The 20,676-nt window shown below is 55.9% G+C and overlaps 1 protein-coding gene and 2 long non-coding RNA genes across 17 annotated transcripts in view, besides 3 other annotated features; 2 read left to right on the forward strand and 1 right to left on the reverse strand.

The window, feature by feature from the left end:
• Nucleotides 1–20,676, reverse strand: part of CNTFR (ciliary neurotrophic factor receptor) — a 39,420-nt gene that overhangs the window by 11,018 nt on the left and 7,726 nt on the right. For 5 of the 15 annotated variants that reach the window (XM_047422756.1, XM_047422755.1, XM_017014261.2 and 2 more), the window contains exons 2-5: nucleotides 18,645–18,755; nucleotides 14,635–14,878; nucleotides 6,447–6,531; nucleotides 2,149–2,382 (exon numbers count right to left, since the gene is read on the reverse strand). In XM_047422756.1, the coding sequence (XP_047278712.1) occupies nucleotides 2,149–2,382; nucleotides 6,447–6,531; nucleotides 14,635–14,835 (520 nt within the window). In that variant the 5' untranslated portion in view covers nucleotides 14,836–14,878; nucleotides 18,645–18,755. Of the gene's footprint in view, nucleotides 1–2,148; nucleotides 2,383–6,446; nucleotides 6,532–11,358; nucleotides 11,395–12,234; nucleotides 13,167–14,634; nucleotides 14,879–18,644; nucleotides 18,756–18,836; nucleotides 19,538–20,030; nucleotides 20,097–20,676 lie in introns of those variants that run through there. The other 10 variants (XM_017014263.2, NM_001207011.2, NM_147164.3 and 7 more) reach the window with 6 other exon arrangements.
• On the forward strand, nucleotides 5,562–20,622 carry CNTFR-AS1 (CNTFR antisense RNA 1). The gene is given in 2 exon segments (NR_024369.1): nucleotides 5,562–5,707; nucleotides 19,885–20,622. It is a non-coding gene; the product is annotated as a CNTFR antisense RNA 1 (long non-coding RNA).
• Nucleotides 5,967–6,501: an enhancer, noted in NCBI's record as "H3K4me1 hESC enhancer chr9:34568415-34568949 (GRCh37/hg19 assembly coordinates)". NCBI's record gives its function as "activates a minimal SCP1, AML or CMV promoter by ChIP-STARR-seq in naive H9 embryonic stem cells {active_cell/tissue: H9 hESC(naive)}" and the evidence as "EXISTENCE:reporter gene assay evidence [ECO:0000049][PMID:30033119]".
• On the forward strand, nucleotides 6,649–7,614 carry LOC105376023 (uncharacterized). The gene is made up of 3 exons (XR_007061466.1): nucleotides 6,649–6,741; nucleotides 7,062–7,166; nucleotides 7,522–7,614. It is a non-coding gene; the product is annotated as an uncharacterized LOC105376023 (long non-coding RNA).
• Nucleotides 8,474–8,974: an enhancer, noted in NCBI's record as "H3K4me1 hESC enhancer chr9:34570922-34571422 (GRCh37/hg19 assembly coordinates)". NCBI's record gives its function as "activates a minimal SCP1, AML or CMV promoter by ChIP-STARR-seq in primed H9 embryonic stem cells {active_cell/tissue: H9 hESC(primed)}" and the evidence as "EXISTENCE:reporter gene assay evidence [ECO:0000049][PMID:30033119]".
• Nucleotides 16,111–17,085: an enhancer, noted in NCBI's record as "H3K4me1 hESC enhancer chr9:34578559-34579533 (GRCh37/hg19 assembly coordinates)". NCBI's record gives its function as "activates a minimal SCP1, AML or CMV promoter by ChIP-STARR-seq in naive and primed H9 embryonic stem cells {active_cell/tissue: H9 hESC(naive and primed)}" and the evidence as "EXISTENCE:reporter gene assay evidence [ECO:0000049][PMID:30033119]".

Below are 20,676 nucleotides of genomic sequence, written 5' to 3' on the forward strand. Positions count from 1 at the left end.
GGAAAGGTACATTCCCACCAAAATACATTTTCACACCTCTTTAAGCCCTACTGGTGGGTCAGCGTTTTTGTGGAAGACCCTGAACAACCCTTCAGCCTAACATTTTACACAGTGTTCTACACCAGTCTTCTGACAGCGAGGCAAGTGTCTGCTCCCAGATCCCTTAAACATCTGCTAGGTAGCTTCTACGGAATAAGGAGACGACTTTTGGGCAGTGGGGTGAACCATACCCAAATAAAATGAGGCCAGAGGAGCTTGAATCATTGGCTCAGGAGAAAAGAAATGAAGAAATGGAACTATGTTCAGAGTATTCACTCTGTTGGTGGGTACCTCCAGCTGGGATCTGGATGCCTGCCCACCTCACCCTCAGCAATGGTGATGGCCTTGTCATTCTGACTTCTCAAAATCCCTCTTCCAAATCACACTCACCTGGTCTTCCCTCTACCTTCTTGCTGGCTCCTTCTTATTTCTTTTTGTGGCTCATTTCCCTCCATCGACCTCTTTAAATGCTGATGGTCTTTAGGGCTCAATTCTGGGTCCTCTTCTCTCTTCACTCCATGATCTCTCCCTTGGCCATCTCACACCCTCCCATGGCCTTAATGCTGACAACCCCCCACAAATATCCATCTCCAGCAGAGGCCTCTCCCCGAATCCCAGACGCTCAGACCCACTGGTTACCAGCCATCAACTCCCGGTTGTCCTCCAAGGATCCCACTGAACAGGTCTGCAGCAGATGTCTAGGGAGCCGCCGATCCCTTGCCCATACTATTAATACTTCTCACTCCCAAATTCTGCAGTTATTCGCCTAAGAGCTTTCTTTTGCTTTGCCTGCTGGGACATCAGGGCAAAAGTGCTGGGGAATCAAAGAGCCTCCCTCCCACCCCAGGTGAATCTCTCAACCACTGATGGGCAGGAGCTAGTGTATACACATCCCAGCTCCCTCACCCTCAGGCAGGGCAACTCAGGTGCACGTTCTGCATCTGCACCTTCGGTGGTTAACCTCAGTCGCCAAGAGGCAATGTCTGGATAACTCACTCTTTACTGACTAACCTAACTTCCTTTTTGTGTGTCACTTTCCCATTCCTTCACGGTATTTCCTTCACCTGCCAAACAAACTACTTGCATAAGAATTCTCATCTTGGGATCTGATTCTAGGGAAACCCAAACTAAGACACTGTTCAAACAGCACACATTATCTTTTCCTTCCGTTTTCTTCCTGTTGCAGTCATGGATTCCTCCAGCTGTCTTGACTCCTCCCACCTTCTACTCTCCTGTCCTTCCCACCTCCAATCCATCACCAATTCTTCGACGTCCAACTGCGCCTTCTCAGCTTCCCCAGCTCCATGCCCTGGTCCCAGGTCCTCATCCTCTCTCCTGCATCCAGTAACAGTCTCCTTCCTACCTTGGTTTTTCTCCATCCAACCTGCCTCCCTCCACTCAGAGTGATCTTTTAAGAACATGACCCAGAAGATGTCACTGCCCAGCTTGCAGGATCATGATCTGCCCCCCGTCCCTTCCTTCAGCTCCCTCTCCACATCAACACCAGCCCAAGTGGCCTTTACATGCCCTCCCAGCCGCTGAGGCCTACGGTCACACCCAGCTCTCTGCCAGAAATGATGTTTCAATGCGTCTTCTAAATCACCGTTCGCTTCCCAAGTCTCCATTCGCTTCCCACTCCAGGATGCCTTCCTCCTTCCCTGGGGCCTCCTGGAGCGCCTTGCCTGTACCTGCATAACCACATATCCCACTTCCCTCCCTGAGGCCCTCTGACTAGCCCTTGTGGGAGCAGACACAGTGAGGCTCCTCCAGCTCAGATCCGTGACCTGAGGGTCTCTCCCCACTCATGTCCCAGGTGAGCCATGCCTTACCAGCTCTCTGCCTATGTTGTCAGAGGGAATAGGGTTTTAGGATACCCAAGACCTCCACGGGGGTGGGATGTGTGGGCAAATTGTCTAGGGGTCTGGACTCAGTGGGTAAGACTGGGCTCAGAGGCCAGAAGAGCGGGCCAGGACAAAATCAGAGGGCAAGGGTCAGGCTGCAGCTCTCCCCTCTCCATGTCCCCCTAACAGGAAGGGGACTTGATCTGGGCTAGGAGTCTGGGTCTCAAGGAAGGAGGGAGGCTGGATGAGGGGTGGGGGCAACACTTACAGCCCACATGCAGCAGGACTTGGTGGCGCAGGTGCCAGGAGTCACGGTGGAAGCAGGCGTAGAGGCCACTGTGGCCCAGTTCCAGGCCATGGAGCACCAGCTGAGAGCCGTTGAGCAGGTCAGGGGCCAGGTCTGTCCCATTTACCCGCCACGTCACCGCAGCATCCCAGTTTGCTGTCCCACATGGCAGTGTCACGTCAGAGCCCAGGCGCTCGTACTGCACATGGGGTGCCTCTGTGGGGGGTGGGGGCACAGGGCAAAAGTCACAGGTCACAGCCCGGCCCAGCACCCGCAGGCGAGCGTGCTCAGACAAGAGCCTGTGAGGATGGATGAGTGAGGACGAGAGGCTCGGTGTCTGTGTGAGTGTTTGGGGAGATGAAGAGTGTTCAAAGCTCCTCTATGCCTGTGCAAGTGTGTGGGTATATGAATGTCTCCAAATGTGAATGTGAGTGAGCATGTACAGGGGCTAGGTATGTGAATGGGCGATCTTCTGTGTGTGTGTGTTTGCATGTGACAGAGAGTTTGCATAGTGCTGAGAGGGGTCAGTTCTCAGAGAAAACCCAGTTCCTCTCCAGTCCCTGGGTTTTTTAAAGTTTCCTGACCCCCATGACCCGGATCTCTTGCCACCCACAGGCCCAGCCCAGTTACTGACGTCCATTATTACCCAGGCAAGCTGGCATTGAGGGGCCCCACTCCTGGACTCCTTTTTCGGTCTCCTTATCTCTTTCTCTTCCCCACCCCATCCTTGTCTCTTTCTGTCCTGTCTCTACCCCCCACCTCCCCCATCTCTCTTCCTGTCTCTCTCCCTTTCCTCTGCCTTCCCAGCCTGCCACCCCACAACAACCCGCCCCTCAGCCATCCAGGGCTCAGGCAGCAGCAGGAGAAGGGAGAATGGGCAGCAGGGAACCCTAGGGAACTCCTGGCAGCTGTCAAGTTCACAAGGCAGGAACTACTTAGGGCAGGTTGGGGGCTTGGGGGGTGCGGTGCTGCTGGGATGGAGTGAGCACTCTGACCATTCCTCTCCTACCCCCAGGAGCGGCCTGTCAGAGCCAAAAGCAAACCCCAGCCCTGCCTTCAGCAACCCAGGCGTGATGGACAGAGCCCAGGAGACTGGAAATGGAAGGGTGGAGGCGAGCACCTGTCGACAGGCAGCACGAAGTGGGGGAAGCGATCAGGGCAGAGAGACAGATTTAAGATGCAGGCACACAGAGATAGGGAGATGGGAATCTCAGGACACCCCCTTCTCATCCTACCCGCTGAGCCTGAGAGACAGACACTTCCCAGGTCTTGGCCAGATCTGCGGAGTGAGGGTGGGAGAGGAGAAGGGAAGGGGGAGAGGGCAGCAGTTGGGGTGGGGGGCTGCGGGATCCCTCGTTAACACTCGCTTACATCTCCCCTCCAGAGAGCCACCCTGCTGAGTTGGGGGATTTTTAGAGGCAATTCCTGTTAACGAGCCAATTAAGTTGGGCCAGTGGCCTCTTAATTAGGCTTGTTAACACCACCAAGACTGCAGGGGTGTAGGGATCCCCCTTGGACCCACTGGCCACCCCCTCCTCCCATTGCAGCCCCCTCCTCAGCCCTGCTTTGCTCTGCACTGGAACATCTGTCCCGGTTTGCTGCCTCTGTCGTCCTCGCTGTGCCAGGGTCTCTCTGTGACTCCGGGTCTCTCTCCCTCGCTGCCTATCTCTATCCTGCCCCTCTCTGTCCCTGTCAGAGAAGAAGGAAGCAGGAAACCCAGCCAGCCCTGACCACTCATCTGTGGAGCCTGGGACCAGCCGAACAGACGATGAACGGGCGGAAGGGCGGTGGCTGGGGGCCTTGGAGGCCACAGCTGTGAGGCTGGACCAGACACTAAACAGGGGCCTCCCCCTGACCAGAGGCCCAGTGTCCAAGACTCCGGCCACTGAGCGCCCCCAACAGTCCACCAGCTCCAGCCACTGAGCCCCCCTCCAGCCTCCCTTCCAAAAACCTGGAGCTTCCAGGAAACATGCCAAGCCCCTCTCTCTGCACCCCCTAGCAGAGACTTTGCATCCAGCTGCCTGAGGAGGAGGCTGAAAACTGACCTTTGGGGAGGGGGCGTGGCCATCATGGTCCCAGCAGCAACACATCAACACTGACCAGGCAGCTCAACGCTAACGTGGACCCAGTGTGGCCCTTAATCCTGGGGAGCAGGTACGGCCACCACACGAGGACACAGCAACCGAACAACACATTACATACAATGGCTATGGGATAACACCTCCCCACCACACCTTGTCTGCTGCACAAAAAAAGTAGAAACGCAACCTGACAATAATGACAGACCGATGATGTAAAGGCAGGGCAGAACGAAAAAATGACAACACAATGGCAGAAGACAACGACAGGCCACAGTGGAGAGGTGGAGGGGTAAGAGGACATGACAAGCACACAGTGTCACAACTGCTACAATAACACAACAATGGCAATACACGCAGCCATGCAACTGCTCCAAAGATGGCAGTGATTTAATCTTTTGTCTCTGGACAGCTCTGCTCCCGCCCCGTGGGTGCCCCTACTGATGTGCTGTCCATTTCAGAAATTAAATCAAGCAGCAGGGGGAGGATTGGGGTTCTTGGCCCTGAAGCGGTGACAAATGCTCCAAAGGAATCAGCTGTGAAAAGGTTGTTAGAAGCCAGGATGAGAGACAGAGACGGGATGAGGTCATGGACATGGAGAACACAGAGGGACAGAGCTGACGGCTCCCTCACACCTGCACACACAGGCTCACAGGGGGACCACATGTCAGAAACAGTCCCCCCGGGCATCCCAAAGCAACTTCACTTTGCCACACACAAAGGAACAAGGGCAGTCACCCCTAAAGAAGAAGGACATGCAGGACAGTCATCCACAAGGCCACAGTCACACACAAGTTCACAGTCACACAGGGACACTGTCTCACTTCAGGGATGGTAACACCTGATACGAGATCACATGTACACGTACAAGAAGGGCACCATCACCTAAAGGCACAGCAGTTATGCCCAGGGACACAGGGAGACAGTTTAATACAAACACACAAAGAGAAACAGAGAGACACAATTACATGTGGGGTACAGTCTCAAACACAAGGATACAGCCCCACAAAGGGCATGCAGACAGGCAAGGTGACATAGACAGACAATGTCACACGTGAGGAACAGTCCACAAGGATACAGCCACACAGAGAAATGCACTCAAACAGGGACACACTCTCACCCTCACAAGAACACAGTTTCACACTCTCAGAGAGGTGGCCTTATGTCCAGGACCATGGGGACACAAGGTAGAGACCACTGGCAGGCCCTAGGGATGCCCAGTCAATGCCCCTGGGGCTGGCCAGGATCTCTCCGGGTCTCACTGATGATCTCATAAAGAAGAGGCCATATAAGCCTCGACTCACTACCCACAGCCTTGAGGGTGGCAGAGCCCAGCCACCAGGGTCTGCTCCATGCCTGGTCCCTGGAGAGGCCCTCACCCTCTCTGCTTTCACCCAACCCGACTGACACGGAGTAGGAGGTGGGAATCATGCAGGCAGGGAGCTTAGGAAGCCTGGTTCAAGGTGAGTTTTGAGTTCAGACCTCGGGCTGATGTTGCTGTTTGAGGTGCTGCCTCAAGTGCAGTAGAGGGGCAGGTGGCCAAGTTAAGAGGGCCTCTGTTAACACCGCTCCTTGTCCTGTGGGCTGTGGGCAGGCCTTGCCCCTCACTGGAGAAATAGGTAAAGGGAGGGCAGGGAGGCTGCCAATGGCCGAGCCCTGAGCTGTCCCTCCCCCGTGTGGCCATTCCAGCTGATTAACCTGTCCCTTCCTTAGTGCACTGGCTCTCTCCCGCATGTTAGCCTGTCCCTTCGTCTCATTCTCAGTCCACCTTCTCTGTCCCCATCCTCCGTCTGGGATGAAGCTGAGGGTAGAAGGTGACCTGCAGTCTTGCCCACTGTCTCCAATCGGTGCCTCCAACTGCACCCCACAAATCTCCGAGAGATCCCCTTTCACCCAGATACAATATACAGGTCCCGCCCCAGCCTCCCCCGTCAACTCCCATCCCACCTGCCTGTACCCTATGCCACCCTAGTAAGAAGACAGATCATCTCAAGCCAGAGACACCGTCAGCATTCGACCACCCTAGTGTGAGTGTGGAGGACTGTGCATATCAGTGTCACATGACTCCATGTCCCTCTGGGTGGTCATGTGTGACAATGCCAGTGTGTGACTCTTGGGTAGTGTCAGGATGCAGCTATGCCAGTGAGGGTTCATGCCCAGCTCTGAGAGGGGGGTCAGCAGGCGGCTCCCGTGAGCACTCACCCTGTGGACTGTGTCTCTGGGCGTAGACAACTGCGGCGGCGGCGGCAAGCACAGCACAGCAGGCCCACGGGACAGGAGCAGCCATCTGTTGGGAGAAACCGGGGTGGGGGAGGGGTCAGCATCAGCCCAGGCAGGACTGTCCTGGGGAGCCCCTCCTGTTCTCAGGCAAGACTGGGAAATCCCAGCCCTAGGGCCCTGGAGAGGCCCTCACCCGCTCTGCTTTCACCCAACCCGACTGACACGGAGTAGGAGGTGGGAATCATGCAGGCAGGGAGCTTAGGAAGCCTGGTTTAAGGTGAGAGCATCTTGACCCCAAAATGCCCTTCTTAATGGGGCTCAAGATCTTCTTTCAGGCAACAGAAAGCAACATTATTGGCATCTGTAGGCAAAGGTTTGCTAAGATGGTAGAAGGCAACCTATGGTGGTTTGCTGTTCGATAAGACTAGTGGCTACACAATGTTGTCAACTGCAAATGAGTTACAGAATATTGGTAATGCCAGGGCCATTTTTCTAAAAAAAAAAATAACTTTACTGGTGAGGTTAGCTAATTAGCTATAAACATCATAAACTGAAAGGGTAATGTTTTAACTCAATTGGAGGTCTGTACTTCTCCAGATTGCTTTGAATGGCAGGCCCCCTGCTGTGCTCCTGGGGAGAGAGCCTGAAACCTGGATGCTCGGGAGCCCCTCAGATCCGTCATCTGTCCCCGACACCCCTGTGGTGAGCCTTGCCACTGGGCCCTGAGAAGCTCAGAGCAGTCGAGTCAGGGCAGTGGGACATGACCCAGGTCAGATGTGGCTTTTCCGTAATTGTACACCAATGATCAAGAGAAAATGAAGGATTTTAATATGTAAGTCCTTGTCAGGAACCCCGGCCCACCCTTGACCCCAGCCATGTGCCCCTAGGAGCCTGGGACCCCCAGCCCAGTAGGCGTGCATCAGTGTCCACATGCACCCATGCAAGTACACAGGATGCACTCAGGACATGGCCCCAGAAGCCAGGATGGATCCAGTGCCCCCCAACCTGGTGTCCTGCTTCCTGAGATGAGTCCAACTATTCTCTCCCCCTCCCCCAGCACACACCTACACTTGATGGCAGGGAAATAATTATTTCCTGCAGAATGGGCTGCAAATGTAACAAACCCCCTGACCTTCAGTCTGAAGAGAGAGAACTATCAACCACACAGAAGCAAAGATCCAGAGAAATACTGAGGGATGCTACCAGACACTCAACCAGGGCCACTCTCCGAGATTCCAGCCAGCCACACAGCAAAGATGCTGGCCGGGGACACTGCCCCAAACCACCAGACAGAACCCCAAAGAAACAGCTCCACACACAGTGGAAGATACACCAGAGACTGTTAGAAGGACCATCAGACAAAGCCAAAGAGACAGGTAGATGAAACCAGATAACCAGCCAGAGAGGTGGTCAGAGAACAGCGACACAATCAAAGGACCCACCAGAAACACTGTAAAGGACTCAGCTAGACCCAGGCAGATACACTGCCGAAGGACGAGCAAGGAGCACAGGCAGTGAAGCCGTCGGCGACAAAGCCAGAGAGCTAAGACACTGTCAGAAACAGTGCCAGAGAAACCGTCTGACACACAAGCAGAGAAATACCAGAGAAACTGATAGACGCAAACAGGCGTACACCCAGAAAAACAGCTTGAGAGAAGAGCCAGAGCCACAGCCAGATGCTCAGTCAGGAAGTATCCACACCACTCCAAACACTGCCAGAGACACTGTCAGACACACAGTCAGACACACTGCCAGAGACACCGTTATAAAGACTGCCAGAGAAACAGCCAGACACACAGCCAGAAAAACTGACAGAGACGCAGTGCCAGATATACCCCGAGAAAGTGCCAGAGACTCAGCTCCAGACAGTGCAGACATAGCATAACAGAGACAAATGTGGGTATCAGCCTGAAGCAGCTGCGGAGAGGCTGGAGAGCAATGAACTTCCTGGGGCTTCCTGTGGGAGAGGGCTCCTGCCTGCCTTTTGCTACCCTTGACCCTCTCCAGGAAAGTCCCCTCCTCTGAGCCTGCTTTTCCTTTCCTCCCTGTCACAGCCACAGGTGCCCTGACTGCCCCTCCCTGGCACAGTAAATCTCTCTGTGTCCTAAGTGGCCCCAGCTACCCTTTGCGCATCAGTGACTCCTGGAGCCTTAGCTACCACTTGGCCTGGCTCCTTCTGACCCTCAGCCCCTCACCACTCTTCAGCTACTCCTCAGGCCTAGGAGGTTAAGACAATGGCCAAAGTTACACAGCCAGCAAGCCGTGCAGCCAGGAAATGAACCCAGGACTGCCTGAATTCAGAGCTGGTGTAAGAGAGAGAAAACGAGACCAGCAGCCAGAGGCCTACCTGGTTCCCCAACCTCAGCCCTGGCCAGTCGCCCTCACACCCTCCCCCACTGCCTCTGCCATCTGTCCATGTCTTTCTCCTCACAGCCAGGAAGATCCTCCGCCTCAGTGCCAGGCCACTGCCCACCACATGGGAGCAGGAACCAGGGCATGGGCAGGCAGAAGAGCAGGCGGAGTGGCTGAGGTTAGATCCAAGGATGGGAGTGTTCAGGGAGAGGAGGAATGGGTGGCCTCTACTCCCAGCTCCTTCCTGGTCCACACAAGCACACACTCCCACGTGCATGCGTGCACGCGTGCGCATACACACACACACACACACACACACACACTCAGGCCCCCGCGGGGGGAGGGGTGGCTTCTTCATCAAAGTCGCCTCCATCAGCCTGATGAGTTACTGTAAGGGCCGGGCCCTGGGCCAACGGGGCTGCAGCCACGGGAGACGGGTGCTGCTGAGAGTGAGTGCTGCAGAGTGGGGATGGGGTGCCAAGACAGACACTGCAGGGTTGGGGGCACCCAGAAAAGGGAGAGACTCAGGGAGGAGAGACAAGAGGGAGGGAGAGAGGAGGAGCTCTGAGTGGAGACCCAGAGGGACAAGGAGAGGCTGAGATAGGAAGAAATAGAAGAGACGCAGGGGAAAAGATGGGGCATATAGGAGATGGGCAGAGACTCAAGGGCAGAGGGAGAGACAGATCCAGAGAGAAGAGAGGAGACCCCTGGCAGGGTCTCTGCCCACCCTAGAGCATCTCCGTGGCCTGCCCAGCTCCTCTAGCACAATGGAGGATGGGATGGTGGTCAATGCAATGTGAGGCAAGAACAGGGCCTTCCTGGAGGCTGGAAGGATTCTTGCTGGGGATCTAGGACCCCAACCCCTAGGGTACAAGGGTAAAACCCCATCTCTGCCCCTGCCCCTGCCCCTGCCCTGCCCCTGCAGATCCAGAAAGCCCCAGGCCAGTTTCACTTCCCCCTTTCCTCAGACTCCCAACTGGGCCCAATGCCCAGTTTGGGAGGCTGAAGCCAGAGGCATCCAGGACACACCTCCATCCTGCCCTGGCTCACTCCAGGCCACCCATCCCAGGGCAAAGAGCATCTTTCCTGGGAATTTTCCAAGTCCACACCCCATGGCTCTGAGATAGATGTGCAGGATAAATCCCATAGAGCCCCAGATAAGGGCTCTGCAAATTAGCCCAGGATTCCTCTCAGCCCCTCAAAGAGGTCAGCCCCAGAATGAGGAGGGAACAGAGGGGGTACCCCATAAGCAAGGAAGGAGCCTAGCGCCCAAAAGCCCCTGAGCCCCTTGTCAGCACAAGGGTCCCTGCACCTCTCCCAGCACAGAACCCTAGTGTCATCATTACTCCCACACAGGTAACACATTAAGAGTCAAATTCTGGGGCCCCAACTTACTGCCATTGTCCCACTGTGGCATAAAGATACCATTACACAATGATAACAACACCCATTGAAAATGACACAGTTGTACCGTTGACAATGACACACAGGGATGTTGACAGTCACCACGATGACAATAATGCAGTGAGTGACAGTCACATACATTGACACCAACAAACGGGGCAATGATACCAGTTGACACTGACACAGTCACAGTGATGGTAACCTCAGAATCAAAGATGCAATGAGACTCAGTCACATCGAGTCACACTGACGGTGACATCAACACAGTGACACAGCAATGTTGATAGACTCAGTAACAGTCTCACAGAATGATACTAGTCCACAGCAATACTGGCAGCCCTGAAGTCTGACAGCCGCCGTCGGTAACAAACAGACACAGCGACAGGCTCCAGGTCAGGAACCCCTGTTACCCAGTTTAAGAATCTGGCTTAGGACCCAAGACCCAAGAACCGTCTTGCCAGTCCCAGCAATGTTCCGGGTTGCCCTGTACCCCTCCCCTCACCCCATGCCCAGCTGAGGGCAGAACCTGGGGGAAGGAGGTGTGAGTTTTGGAAAGCCTCTATTTATCCCTGCAGAATTACAGCAGTTTAGATTGTAGAAGGCCAACCCTGGGGAAGCCCTGCCGCCATCAGGTCAGGGTGGGGGATAATGAGCACCACTAACTGCGTCTCAGCTGTAATTGTGTGTGCGGGTTGATCTGTAATAGTGTGTTGCGCACTTCAGGGTTTGGGTTGCTGTGGGCACGCCGAGGCTCAGGTAGGCTCAGTCTGGCCTGGACAATGAAGGATCAGGGGGGCCTCAAGGCAAGTGACCTCGAAGCAAGGTTACTACTCCAACTCCGAGGCAGGGAACTGAAATCCAAAGAAGGTCACCGGATGGACTCCCCCCATTGCCAGGCGTCAGGGTGGGTTCAGAACATCCATCTGATGAAGGGCATCCGGCCCAGCACAGAGCGGAGGGGACTCCCCACAGCTTCCAGTCCCCGCTCTGACTCCCACAGCCCAGACTCCAGAATCCCACAGTGAGGGGAAAAGGCACCTTTTATCCTGGAGCCTCATCTCCTTCACCTCTCCCCACAGCAGCCTAGAGGGCCCATCTCAGGAATGAGGCAAGAATGCAGGACACAGCATGGACTCACTGATTCAAACGCCTGGGGACTCTAGAAGCCTCAGACCTGCAGAGGAATTAGGTTGGAGCAGAGAAACAGAGATACATAGACTTGGAGATGGAGAAGGAAATGAGAGACAGAGCGGGGGCAAAGACAGGGACAAGGACATGGTGGGCAGGGAGGAACAGTACTGGCTGAGGGGGGAGCCTGGAAGAGATAGTCAGGGCAGGCGGGAAGCTCCAGGACAGGGAGGAGGGGCTGAGGCTGGGAGGCCCCCAGATCCCACCAGGCCTAGGCAGCCTGGACAGCGTGGGCGGTGGGGGCGGGGGCAGAGGCCTGAGCGGTCCAGAGGCTTGGGGGGTGGGGGGACCAGGCCGAGGAGGGAGGCCTGGCCCCTGGCAGCTGGCCCGGCAGGCCCCTCACCAGGGAAGGGCGGGCCTAGGTCAGGGGCCAGCTCGTGGGCTGGGGCCGGCTAGCCATGGGCGGGCAGGTTCCCACTCCCTATGGTGTTTCTCCCTCCTGTCTCCGAATCTCTGATCTCTAGCCCCTTCTCTTTTCCCTCCTCTCTGAATCCAGACCTGCCTCTCCTCTCAGCTCTCTCAGTGACCCCACCTCAAGTGGCATAGGGCTCCAAGCTGTGCCTGGGTTCAGGATTCAAGCTTTACCTCCTCCTGGGCTACCATGTCCCCACCCACGCCAAGGGCAAGCCTCAGTCCTCAGGGGAAATGACCCTACCCAAGCTTAGGCCCTGTCCTCCTCCTTAGAAGGGGGCAGAATAAGCCAAGCACCAGTAGGAAGGGGCCAGGAGGGAGGCAGGGGGAGTGGTCCCCCAGCTCTCGACGCTGGCTGAGGCTGTGGAAAAGGAGGCGGCCCAATTGAGTGAGTTGGGGGGGTTGGTATCCGCACCTGCTGTTGTGACCTCCACAGCCGGAGATGGGGTCCTGGAGGGGACAAGATTCCGATGGATTTTGGCAGCGGCCTGGACTCAGTGCTCAAAACCCCCATTCCCAGCCTCTTGCACCGTGGGGACCCTGAGATCAGCATGTGCGTGCCCTGCTGCACGTGTGTGCGGGCGTGTTGTTGGGGGAGCCTGGGGCCCTCCCATGATGGGCCTGGCTGGGCAGCTGGGGAGGCATCCTGGGGAGAGAGGAATCTGTCACCAGCCTGTGCCCACATGTGGAGGCCCACTTGGGGCCCCGCATGCTGCCTGGTGACCTGGGCATGGGCTTGTATATGCACATACATGCAGGCCTGTGCTTAAGTAGCCCTCTAGATGCAGAAGGCCTGGGCTTTCACCCTCAAAAGTCATCTGGTCCAGCCCCCTGCCTCTTGAATGGAGAGGAGGAAGGGGCAGATAAGTTCGTATCCTCCCTTTGGACACATAGGCTCTGGAGAGCTTCACAGAACCTGAGGTACTGGTGCCAAATCCCCCAGCCCCCAACCCCAGTCCAGTCTCTTCTGGCTTCCAGAAGAATCAGGAAGCCCCCTCCACCCAGGAAAGGCACACACACCAGTTAGGCTAAGTCTGTGGGGAGCGGGGTACTGCTCCTCTTGTAGGGACAGAACGCTGTAGCACATTAGACAGCTGGAAGAACTCAACGAAAGGCAGGGGATGGGCAGAGCAATAGGGTTGACTGAGACTTCCCTTAGCAGGGGGGTGGGGTAAGGAAAGGCCCGAAGCGGACGCCGGGGACAGGAAGGAGGCTGCAAGGCAGGGCCCTCCGTGGAGACAAGGATGGATAGAATGGCTTTCCAGAGTTGGAGATTAGGACAAAGACCTATTTGCCTCAGCATCTCCTACCACACCCACCCCTGGCCCCATCACTGCTATGGTGCAGACACACCCTTGAATCCATACACAGAGGCCCATGCAAGCAAGCTCACACACACACCCACCCACCCACCCACCCACACACACACACACCCCGGGGGGTGGGGGCAGCAGTGCATGTGATGCATCGGCTTATAACAAAAAAAACCTGAAGATGGTCGTTCTGACAGAGCCAGAGTTGGGTGGGGGGAAAAGAAGCTTCAAATGTCTTCTGTGTTCTGTTCTCTCTGCCCCCTAACGTGCATATGCACCATGCACGCTACTTCTGAGGAGCCTCCTGGTCTGCTGGGCAAGACCGAGCCATCCTTCCTCCCCTTTCCTCCCCTCCTCACAGTGGGGAAGCCACAGCAATCTGTTCCTGATGGGTAAACACAGGCGTGAGTACGTGCACACACGTGCTCACACACACACCAGCCACTCAGGCCACAGAGCACCCAGCGCTCACTTCACCCCGAGACAGAGCACACACTTGGGCTCTCACTACACCCGGCAGAGCTCTCAAAGCCCCCGCCTCCTCAGACACACAGGGCCAGAGCTTCACAGACACACCCAGGCAGCCTCTCGCAGACACTGGCATTCAGAGCCTACCATCGTGGCCACACATCAGGGCCTCCCACATGGACACCCACTCCCACAGCCCCGTACACGCTGGTGTGCGTGCACACATTACAGTCACACTCACACACACAGACTCCCTCACACAGCCATGGTCTCACATATGGATACCATCACACACTCCGAACAGTCAACCTTCCACACAGACACCATTGTACACTTCCAGAAGCTCAGGGCCCCCAGTCGCCCTTGGCCTCTCACGCCCCGACACCGGCAATGGGAAACACCCACATACACACCCTGAACAGCCACACTGTGCCAGCACCTCAGGTTGCCTAGCCGTGCCTGAGGGGAGGGACAGAAAGCCTAGGGATGCCTAGGGCAGGAAAGAAAAGGAAAGGAAATACTTCGTTGGTCCCTAAAAAGTGAGAAAATAAATGATTATTCCCCAGGCAGCTCCTTCTTCCCCAAACCCTGCTTTCAACAGCATTAGGGAATGAAGGGAGATCCATTCCAGACAGGAGAGGTGAAGGAAGTACCTGGGGGAGACAGATGGTGGCACTGGAATCAGCAAGAGCCAGAAAGGCCCAGAAATCAGCCGACTTCCCAGGCCCTTGCTGCCTTCCCTCATCACCCTCTCTTCCCCACGATGCGGATCGGCAGCAGCTCTCAGCCTAGCTATCTGCTGTGTGATCCCAAGGCCTCTTCAAAACCTCTATGTGCCCATAACTGTCTAGCGGGCACCCAGATGTCTGGCCTGGCTGCAGAAAGGGCAGGAGAAGGGAAGGAGATGAGACCTCCACTCCAGCCCCCCAGCCCCCACCAAAGCCCTGGCATCACTGTCAGCCCACAGAGAGGTAGGGCAGATGCCCAGCAGCAGGAGGGGAGCAGGCAGAGCCAGCGGTGCTCCTCTAACTAACCACTGAGGAGGAGAGTCCTAAGGTGTCCTTGGACCCTGCAGCCCCGCCCCCATCACTGGAGGAGTAGACGCGGAGTCGCTGTCCAGTCAGAATGGAATCCAGGCTGTGCTGGCCAGGCCCCAGCCCAGGAAAGATCGGCAATGCTGCAGACATCCTTGCCACTTGCCACTCCAGGTGTAGCTGGGGCCCTGATGCCTCCATCCTAAAAGGAGCCTGACGTGACTCCACGGAAGACAGGCAGGACCTAAGGAAACCAGGCAGGGGTAATGCCATAAAGCCAGGTGATAGGGACTTCGGGGAAGGGGGCAGTGGGGACAAAAGAAACCAGGCAGCAGGGTGTAAGGAAACCAGGTGACAGGGCCCCAAAGAAGGTAGGTGGTGGGAGCCAAATGAAATCAGGCAGTGGGGACTAAAGTTAGCTAGGAGGTGTGGACAAATGAAGCCAGGCTTTGGGGATCAAATGAAACCAGGCAAGAGGCCCACAGGATGTGAGAAAAGAAAGATATCAGGAGCTCATCCCCTCTGTCTAGATGTCACCCCCACACGCTGGGCCTCTCTCTCTGTAGCCCCCCTTCCACTCAGGCGGTGGTCCCCTCCCCCAGGCCAATGGACACAGCCAGAGCCCCCTCCCCTCTCAGAGGCCTGGTCCGATTGCAGCCAATGGGCCCCGGCCCCATCCCTGGGACCTCAGGAAGTCCCAGTCCCTCCCACCGGCTGCAGAGGCAGGGGGGCTGGGGGGAGAGACAGAGAAGAGAAAAGAAGAGAGACAGCTTGGCAGGGGGAGCGCGCCGAGCAGCCGCGGGGGGCGGAGGCCGAGAAAGGAGCGGGAAGCGCCGAGGCGGGCTGGGCGGGCTGGCGGGCGGGCGAGCGCGGGGCGGGGGCGTCGCGGCGGCGGGGGTGACAAGTCCTCCGGCCCTGTGGCCACTGACCTGGGTCCCCACGCAGGCGCCCCGTCGGTGCCTCCGGCGCTCCGTGGGTCCGCCTGCCCGCCTGCGGGCATCGGGTCTGCGGGGCTGGGGCCCGGGCAGCCGGAACGACCCGGGAGGCAGAAGCAACCCCCACAGCGGTCCCGGCGGGCGGGTGGGCGAGGGGCCGGGCCGCGCGGTGAGCGACGAGGGCCGAGCCCCGAGTGAGCGACCGGGCAAGCGGGCCGGGAGGAGGGGAGGAAGGAGCGCGCTGCAAGCGAACGAGCAAGCGAGCAAGCGAGCTAGCGGAGGGAGAGTGAGGGACGGCATGCAGTGAGGTCATCCTTTGAATCTAATTGTCTGAGTCAGGAGGAGATGTGGCACTTGATGCTGGGGGAGGGGAGGCAGAAGGGACCCTCCCCGCTCCGGTCCCGGCCCCTCTCCACACCCAGGGGTGGCCGGGGCCTCCTTTCCCCTCCCAAGGAGAAGTTGCCGCAGGCCAACTCGGGCAGACCACTGCTGGTCTCAGGGCTGACCTCTGCTGCCTGGGGCTATCAGCAAGTGGTGAGAGATGTGGGACCCGGCCCCAGCTCCCGGCTACCTTCCTCCTCCCGGGGTGACCGCCACACCTCAAGGCCCAGCTCACTTTCCCACATTTTTTAGGGCACGGGAGGCTCCCAGCCTACCCCCAGGTCCTATTCCAGGTCCTATTCTGCCCTGTGAGGATAAAGCAGGAACTTCAGCCAGCCTTCCAAGTTGCCTTACTTTAGGAGCACGGGGCCCCAACTCTATTCCCCAAGTTACTTCCAGTGCTGGGAATTTGGGGGAATCTGGAAACTGAACCCCAGGCTCACCATCCTGCCCTCTGGGAATGACAGTGCAATGCCACCCGTCCTCCAGTTACTTTCTGCATTTGGGATGAGGACCCCAGATCCGCCTTTAGGAGGGACAGGAGCAGGGCCAGACTCCTAGGGTCTCCAGGGAGGGACCAGGCTGCCCAGAGGGTGACGGACAGGTTGGTCACTGGACCCTGGGCTTGTCAGGTGTGCACACCCGTACACATATACATGAGCACACGCACACGCACACGTGCAAATGCACATCCGCATGGGGTCGGGGGCACCAGACAGCTGGGGATACTCACACCAAGGGCCATACCCTCCTCCCTTCGCCCCTGTGGGGGAGGGGTGATAAATATTTAAGGGGCTTTTAGCTCAAAAGGGGCTGGAACGGGGGAGGGAGGGGGATCCACGCTGCCTGATTAATGGGGTTACGGGCTTGGATCAATCCGTCCGCCCGCCGCTCCCTCCTCCCCCTCCTCCCTCCCTCCGCCTAATGCGCTTTATCAGGAGACGCTTTTCTGACTTGGCAGCGTTGGGCGTTTTAAATAGACCCATTTAGAGCTGGGGTTGGGGGAGAAGGAGGGGGGTGGAGAGACAGAGATTGAGACAGGCTGGGAGACAGAGACAAATCAGGAAAGAGAGATGGGCCCTAGAAGAGAGAGACTGGGAGAGGAGAGACAGAAGGAAATGCAGAGATACCATTGAGATAAGACACTGAGGGCGAGGCTCCCACGGAGGCTGAGATGGACAGAGAGAGGGTGATGGAGAGAGAGAGGGTGATGGGAGGCCAAAGGAAGCTGGGGGGCTGAGGAGCAGAAACAAACAAACAAAAAGAGACAGGGAGGAAAGGAACCATGGGCAGCAGGGAGAAGCCCAGAGAGAGGCTCTCTGCAAGGGCTGAGTGCTAGCCTGGGAGACAGCAGATATTCTTTATTTCCAAAAACCGTTTTTCATCCACTTTGTTAAATTAAAAAGCTGTTTTTAAAGTGGTGCTGGAGGTGCTGCTGGGGGAGGGTGAACAGAACTGCCAAGTCCTCCCTCTCTGGCCTCCTCCTCCTTGGCCCCCACAGAAGCTGCCTCAGCCTGAGCCCCTGGGGTGTTCTCCAGCTCCCCTGCTCGCTGAGGCAATCCTCTGAGATCCCCAGGAAGAGGGTCAGGGCATCTGAGCTACTGTTCACTGGCAGGAAGTCCTTCCTGCTGTCTGGCCTCAGTTCTTCTTGCTGCAGGGAGCCCATTCTTTCCCCGACCACTATCCTTCTCTTCTCCAGCTCCTGTCCCGGCTCCCTAAGGTGTTCCCAGTTTGCGGAGGATTACGTGCCCTCTCAGCCCAGTAGCACACTTTCCAAATAAGCCATCAGACTCCTCCCAAGGTACCCCCCATAAATATTATCTTTTATTCTGTAAATCCATCTCCTAGCCCCATCCTAGTCTGAACTTCTATCAGATACACACCCCATGTCCTTGGGTCCTCTGGGAACAGTGGGGTGAAAAGCTTAACTCTCTACAGCCTTCTCAGGCCTCCCTTCCTCCTCTCCTGGGCCCCAGCTCCATCTTAAGCCCCTTTTATGTGTCAGCCTGGGGTACCCCACTCCACCCTCAACAACAACCTGGTCCTAGTTGTGAAGGGTTAGTCCCCCCTCAGCCCCCAGCCGGGAAAATGGCCAGTCTGTTTGGGAGCTGAGATGAAAAGCCCGGCCGGCCTTTGTGGGCCTCTGGCGGGTTTTGGACAATAGGCCCTTCCGTTCCGCTCCAGTGCCTCGATGCCTTGGATGCCCCCACCCCCAAGCTGCCAATCCAGGGGCCTTGCCTGGCCTGAATGAGAGACAGGGAGAGTCAGGCTCGGCCCCACAGCTGGCCTCAGAAGATTCTGGACTTTCTGACCTGCCATCCCATCTTTTTAAAGCCTAGCTGCTCCTCCAATCAAATAAGAGAGATGTCTGGGGGGCAGAGAGGAAATCTGAGGATACTGAAACAGAAACATACTCCCATATCTGGGACTCAGCACCCCCTTAGTATAGAACCCAGTTTCCTAACCTGGTGTTGCCCTTGCCTGTGTGACCACAGGTAAGTCTCTTCCCTTTCTATTTGAGAGCATGAAAAGCCTCAGCCAGGCTGAGCCCAAAACCTCTGGAAAAAGAAAGGACAGGGGAAGAGAGGAAGGAATCTCAGGTCCTCCTCCACTCATGTCCCCTAGACGTACAGCCCCACTACACCTGCCTGATTCCCTGAGATTGATCTGCCCCACGTGGGCCCCAGCACCTACCTCTTCACCACTGGCCACACACCAAGCACATCAATGTCCTCCTCCTCCTCCAGACCAACTCTTCAGGACTTCCAAAACCAAGGGGGCAAGATGAGGTGACAAGGCTAGAGTCTAGAAGGGCAAAGGGCACAAATCAGAGGTCACAGAGGAGCCACAGGCCTTAGTCCAACTCAGAGGCCATTCCATACTCACAGCCCCACTGTGAGAAGGGGAGACTGAGGCAGGCAGCAGCTAAACGTCTGGAAGAAGAAAAGTTGAGAGTAATACAGACCCCTCCCAGCACCCCTTGCTGACTTCAGGTTCTGAACCACAGGGACAAAGGTTGCCAGAAGGCAGTGGCCTGATACAATACACAGATACACACCCACAGACAATCCACAATTCTTATACAATCAGTTTGCAGACACACAGGCACCTCCATATCACATGCATCCTCACATGCACAATCCTAGAGGCACAGGGTCACAGGCACGGTGTAAATAACCACCATCGTAACACCCCCTTCCTTATCACCACTATGATTTATTGAGCATCTATTATATGCCAGGAACTGTGTTTGGCACTTTATATGCATTATCTTACTTAATCTTCATGATTTCTCCATGAGGTAGGTTTTATTGTTCTTCACATTTGATAACCAAGGAGATTGAGCTTCAAGGAGGCCTTGCCCAATACCACAGAGCTGATCAGTTCCAGAGTCTAGATTTGAGTCCGTATCTAGTTCCAAAACCTTGCTGCTATACCAATTTGCCTGTGCAGGTCTCTCACCCACCTGCACAATGTCTTTCCCAAGAATAATAACAGCAGGTATCACTTGTTCAGGGTCCTTGGTTACCCAGACACTGTGATAAGTACTTAATTTACATTTTGGTACTGAATCATCAAAACAAGCTTCAAGGCCAGGCATGGTGGCTCACACCTGTAATCCCAGCACTTTGGGAGGCTGAAGCAGGTGGATCACCTGAGCTTAGGAGTTCCAGACTAGCCTGGGCAACATAGTGAAACCCCATCTCTACCAAAAATACAAAAAATTAGCCAGGCGTGGTGGCATGTGCCTGTGGTTCCAGCTACTCCTGAGGCTGAGGTGGGAGGGTCACTTGAGCGTGGGAGGCGAAGGTTGCACTGAGCCAAGATTGAGCCACTGCACTCTCCAGCCTGGGTGACCAAGTGAAACCCTATGGCAAAAAAAAAAAAAAAAAAAAACACAAGCTTTGGAGGTAATCCTGTTTCTGTTTTACAGATCCTGAAACTGAGGCTCAGAGAGCAGAAGCAGCTTGGCCAAAGTCATACAACTGGTAGTTGGTAAAGGAGCTGGCCTTGAACTCAGGGATATCTTGAAAGCCACTGTTGCTTCTATGGACTCTAGCCATTCAAAAGACCCCTCACCTTCTATAAGACCCCAGGAGATCCTCAGGGTCCAACTGCTCCCTTGAAAACAGGTCCCAGATATATCTGCCAAAGGTATGATTAGGTGCCTAAACACATACCATGAGAAAGGGATTCCATGTCTTCCAATCCTGCCCAGAGATGCAGAGACACCACCACCCAGGGAGAGATAGCCAGAAACTAAAATAAGATGTTAGAGACAGGTGGTTGATAGTGACAGATACAGCCACACCAAGACAGGCTCAAAGGGAGGAAGACTGAGGGGAAGCCAGAGACAGAGAGGGACACATTAGGCCAAAGAATGAGAGAGATAGCTGGAAAAGGAGACAATAGGAGTAGAGGAGGGTACAGGCTGACATGAAAAAACACCGACAGATACACTCCAGTATGCAGACAGACACATATAGACCCATCTGACCTTCACAAGAAACAGACTGTGAAAGCAAGCAAGGCTCAGGCTGTGTGTGGTGTGCGTATGTGTGTGTGCGTATTGTGGGGGGAGCATGCAGAGTCTGTATAGCTACGCACATTACACCAGCTGCTTCCAGCAATTTCATCTGATTAATAATAAATGCCCCATAATTACAGCCGCTCCCCCAGCCCTTCTTCCTGTTTTTTGTCAGCTGCTGCCAGACCAGCCCCCCAT

Source organism: Homo sapiens, chromosome 9, assembly GCF_000001405.40.
Source record: "Homo sapiens chromosome 9, GRCh38.p14 Primary Assembly".
Taxonomy (NCBI): Eukaryota; Metazoa; Chordata; class Mammalia; order Primates; family Hominidae; genus Homo; species Homo sapiens.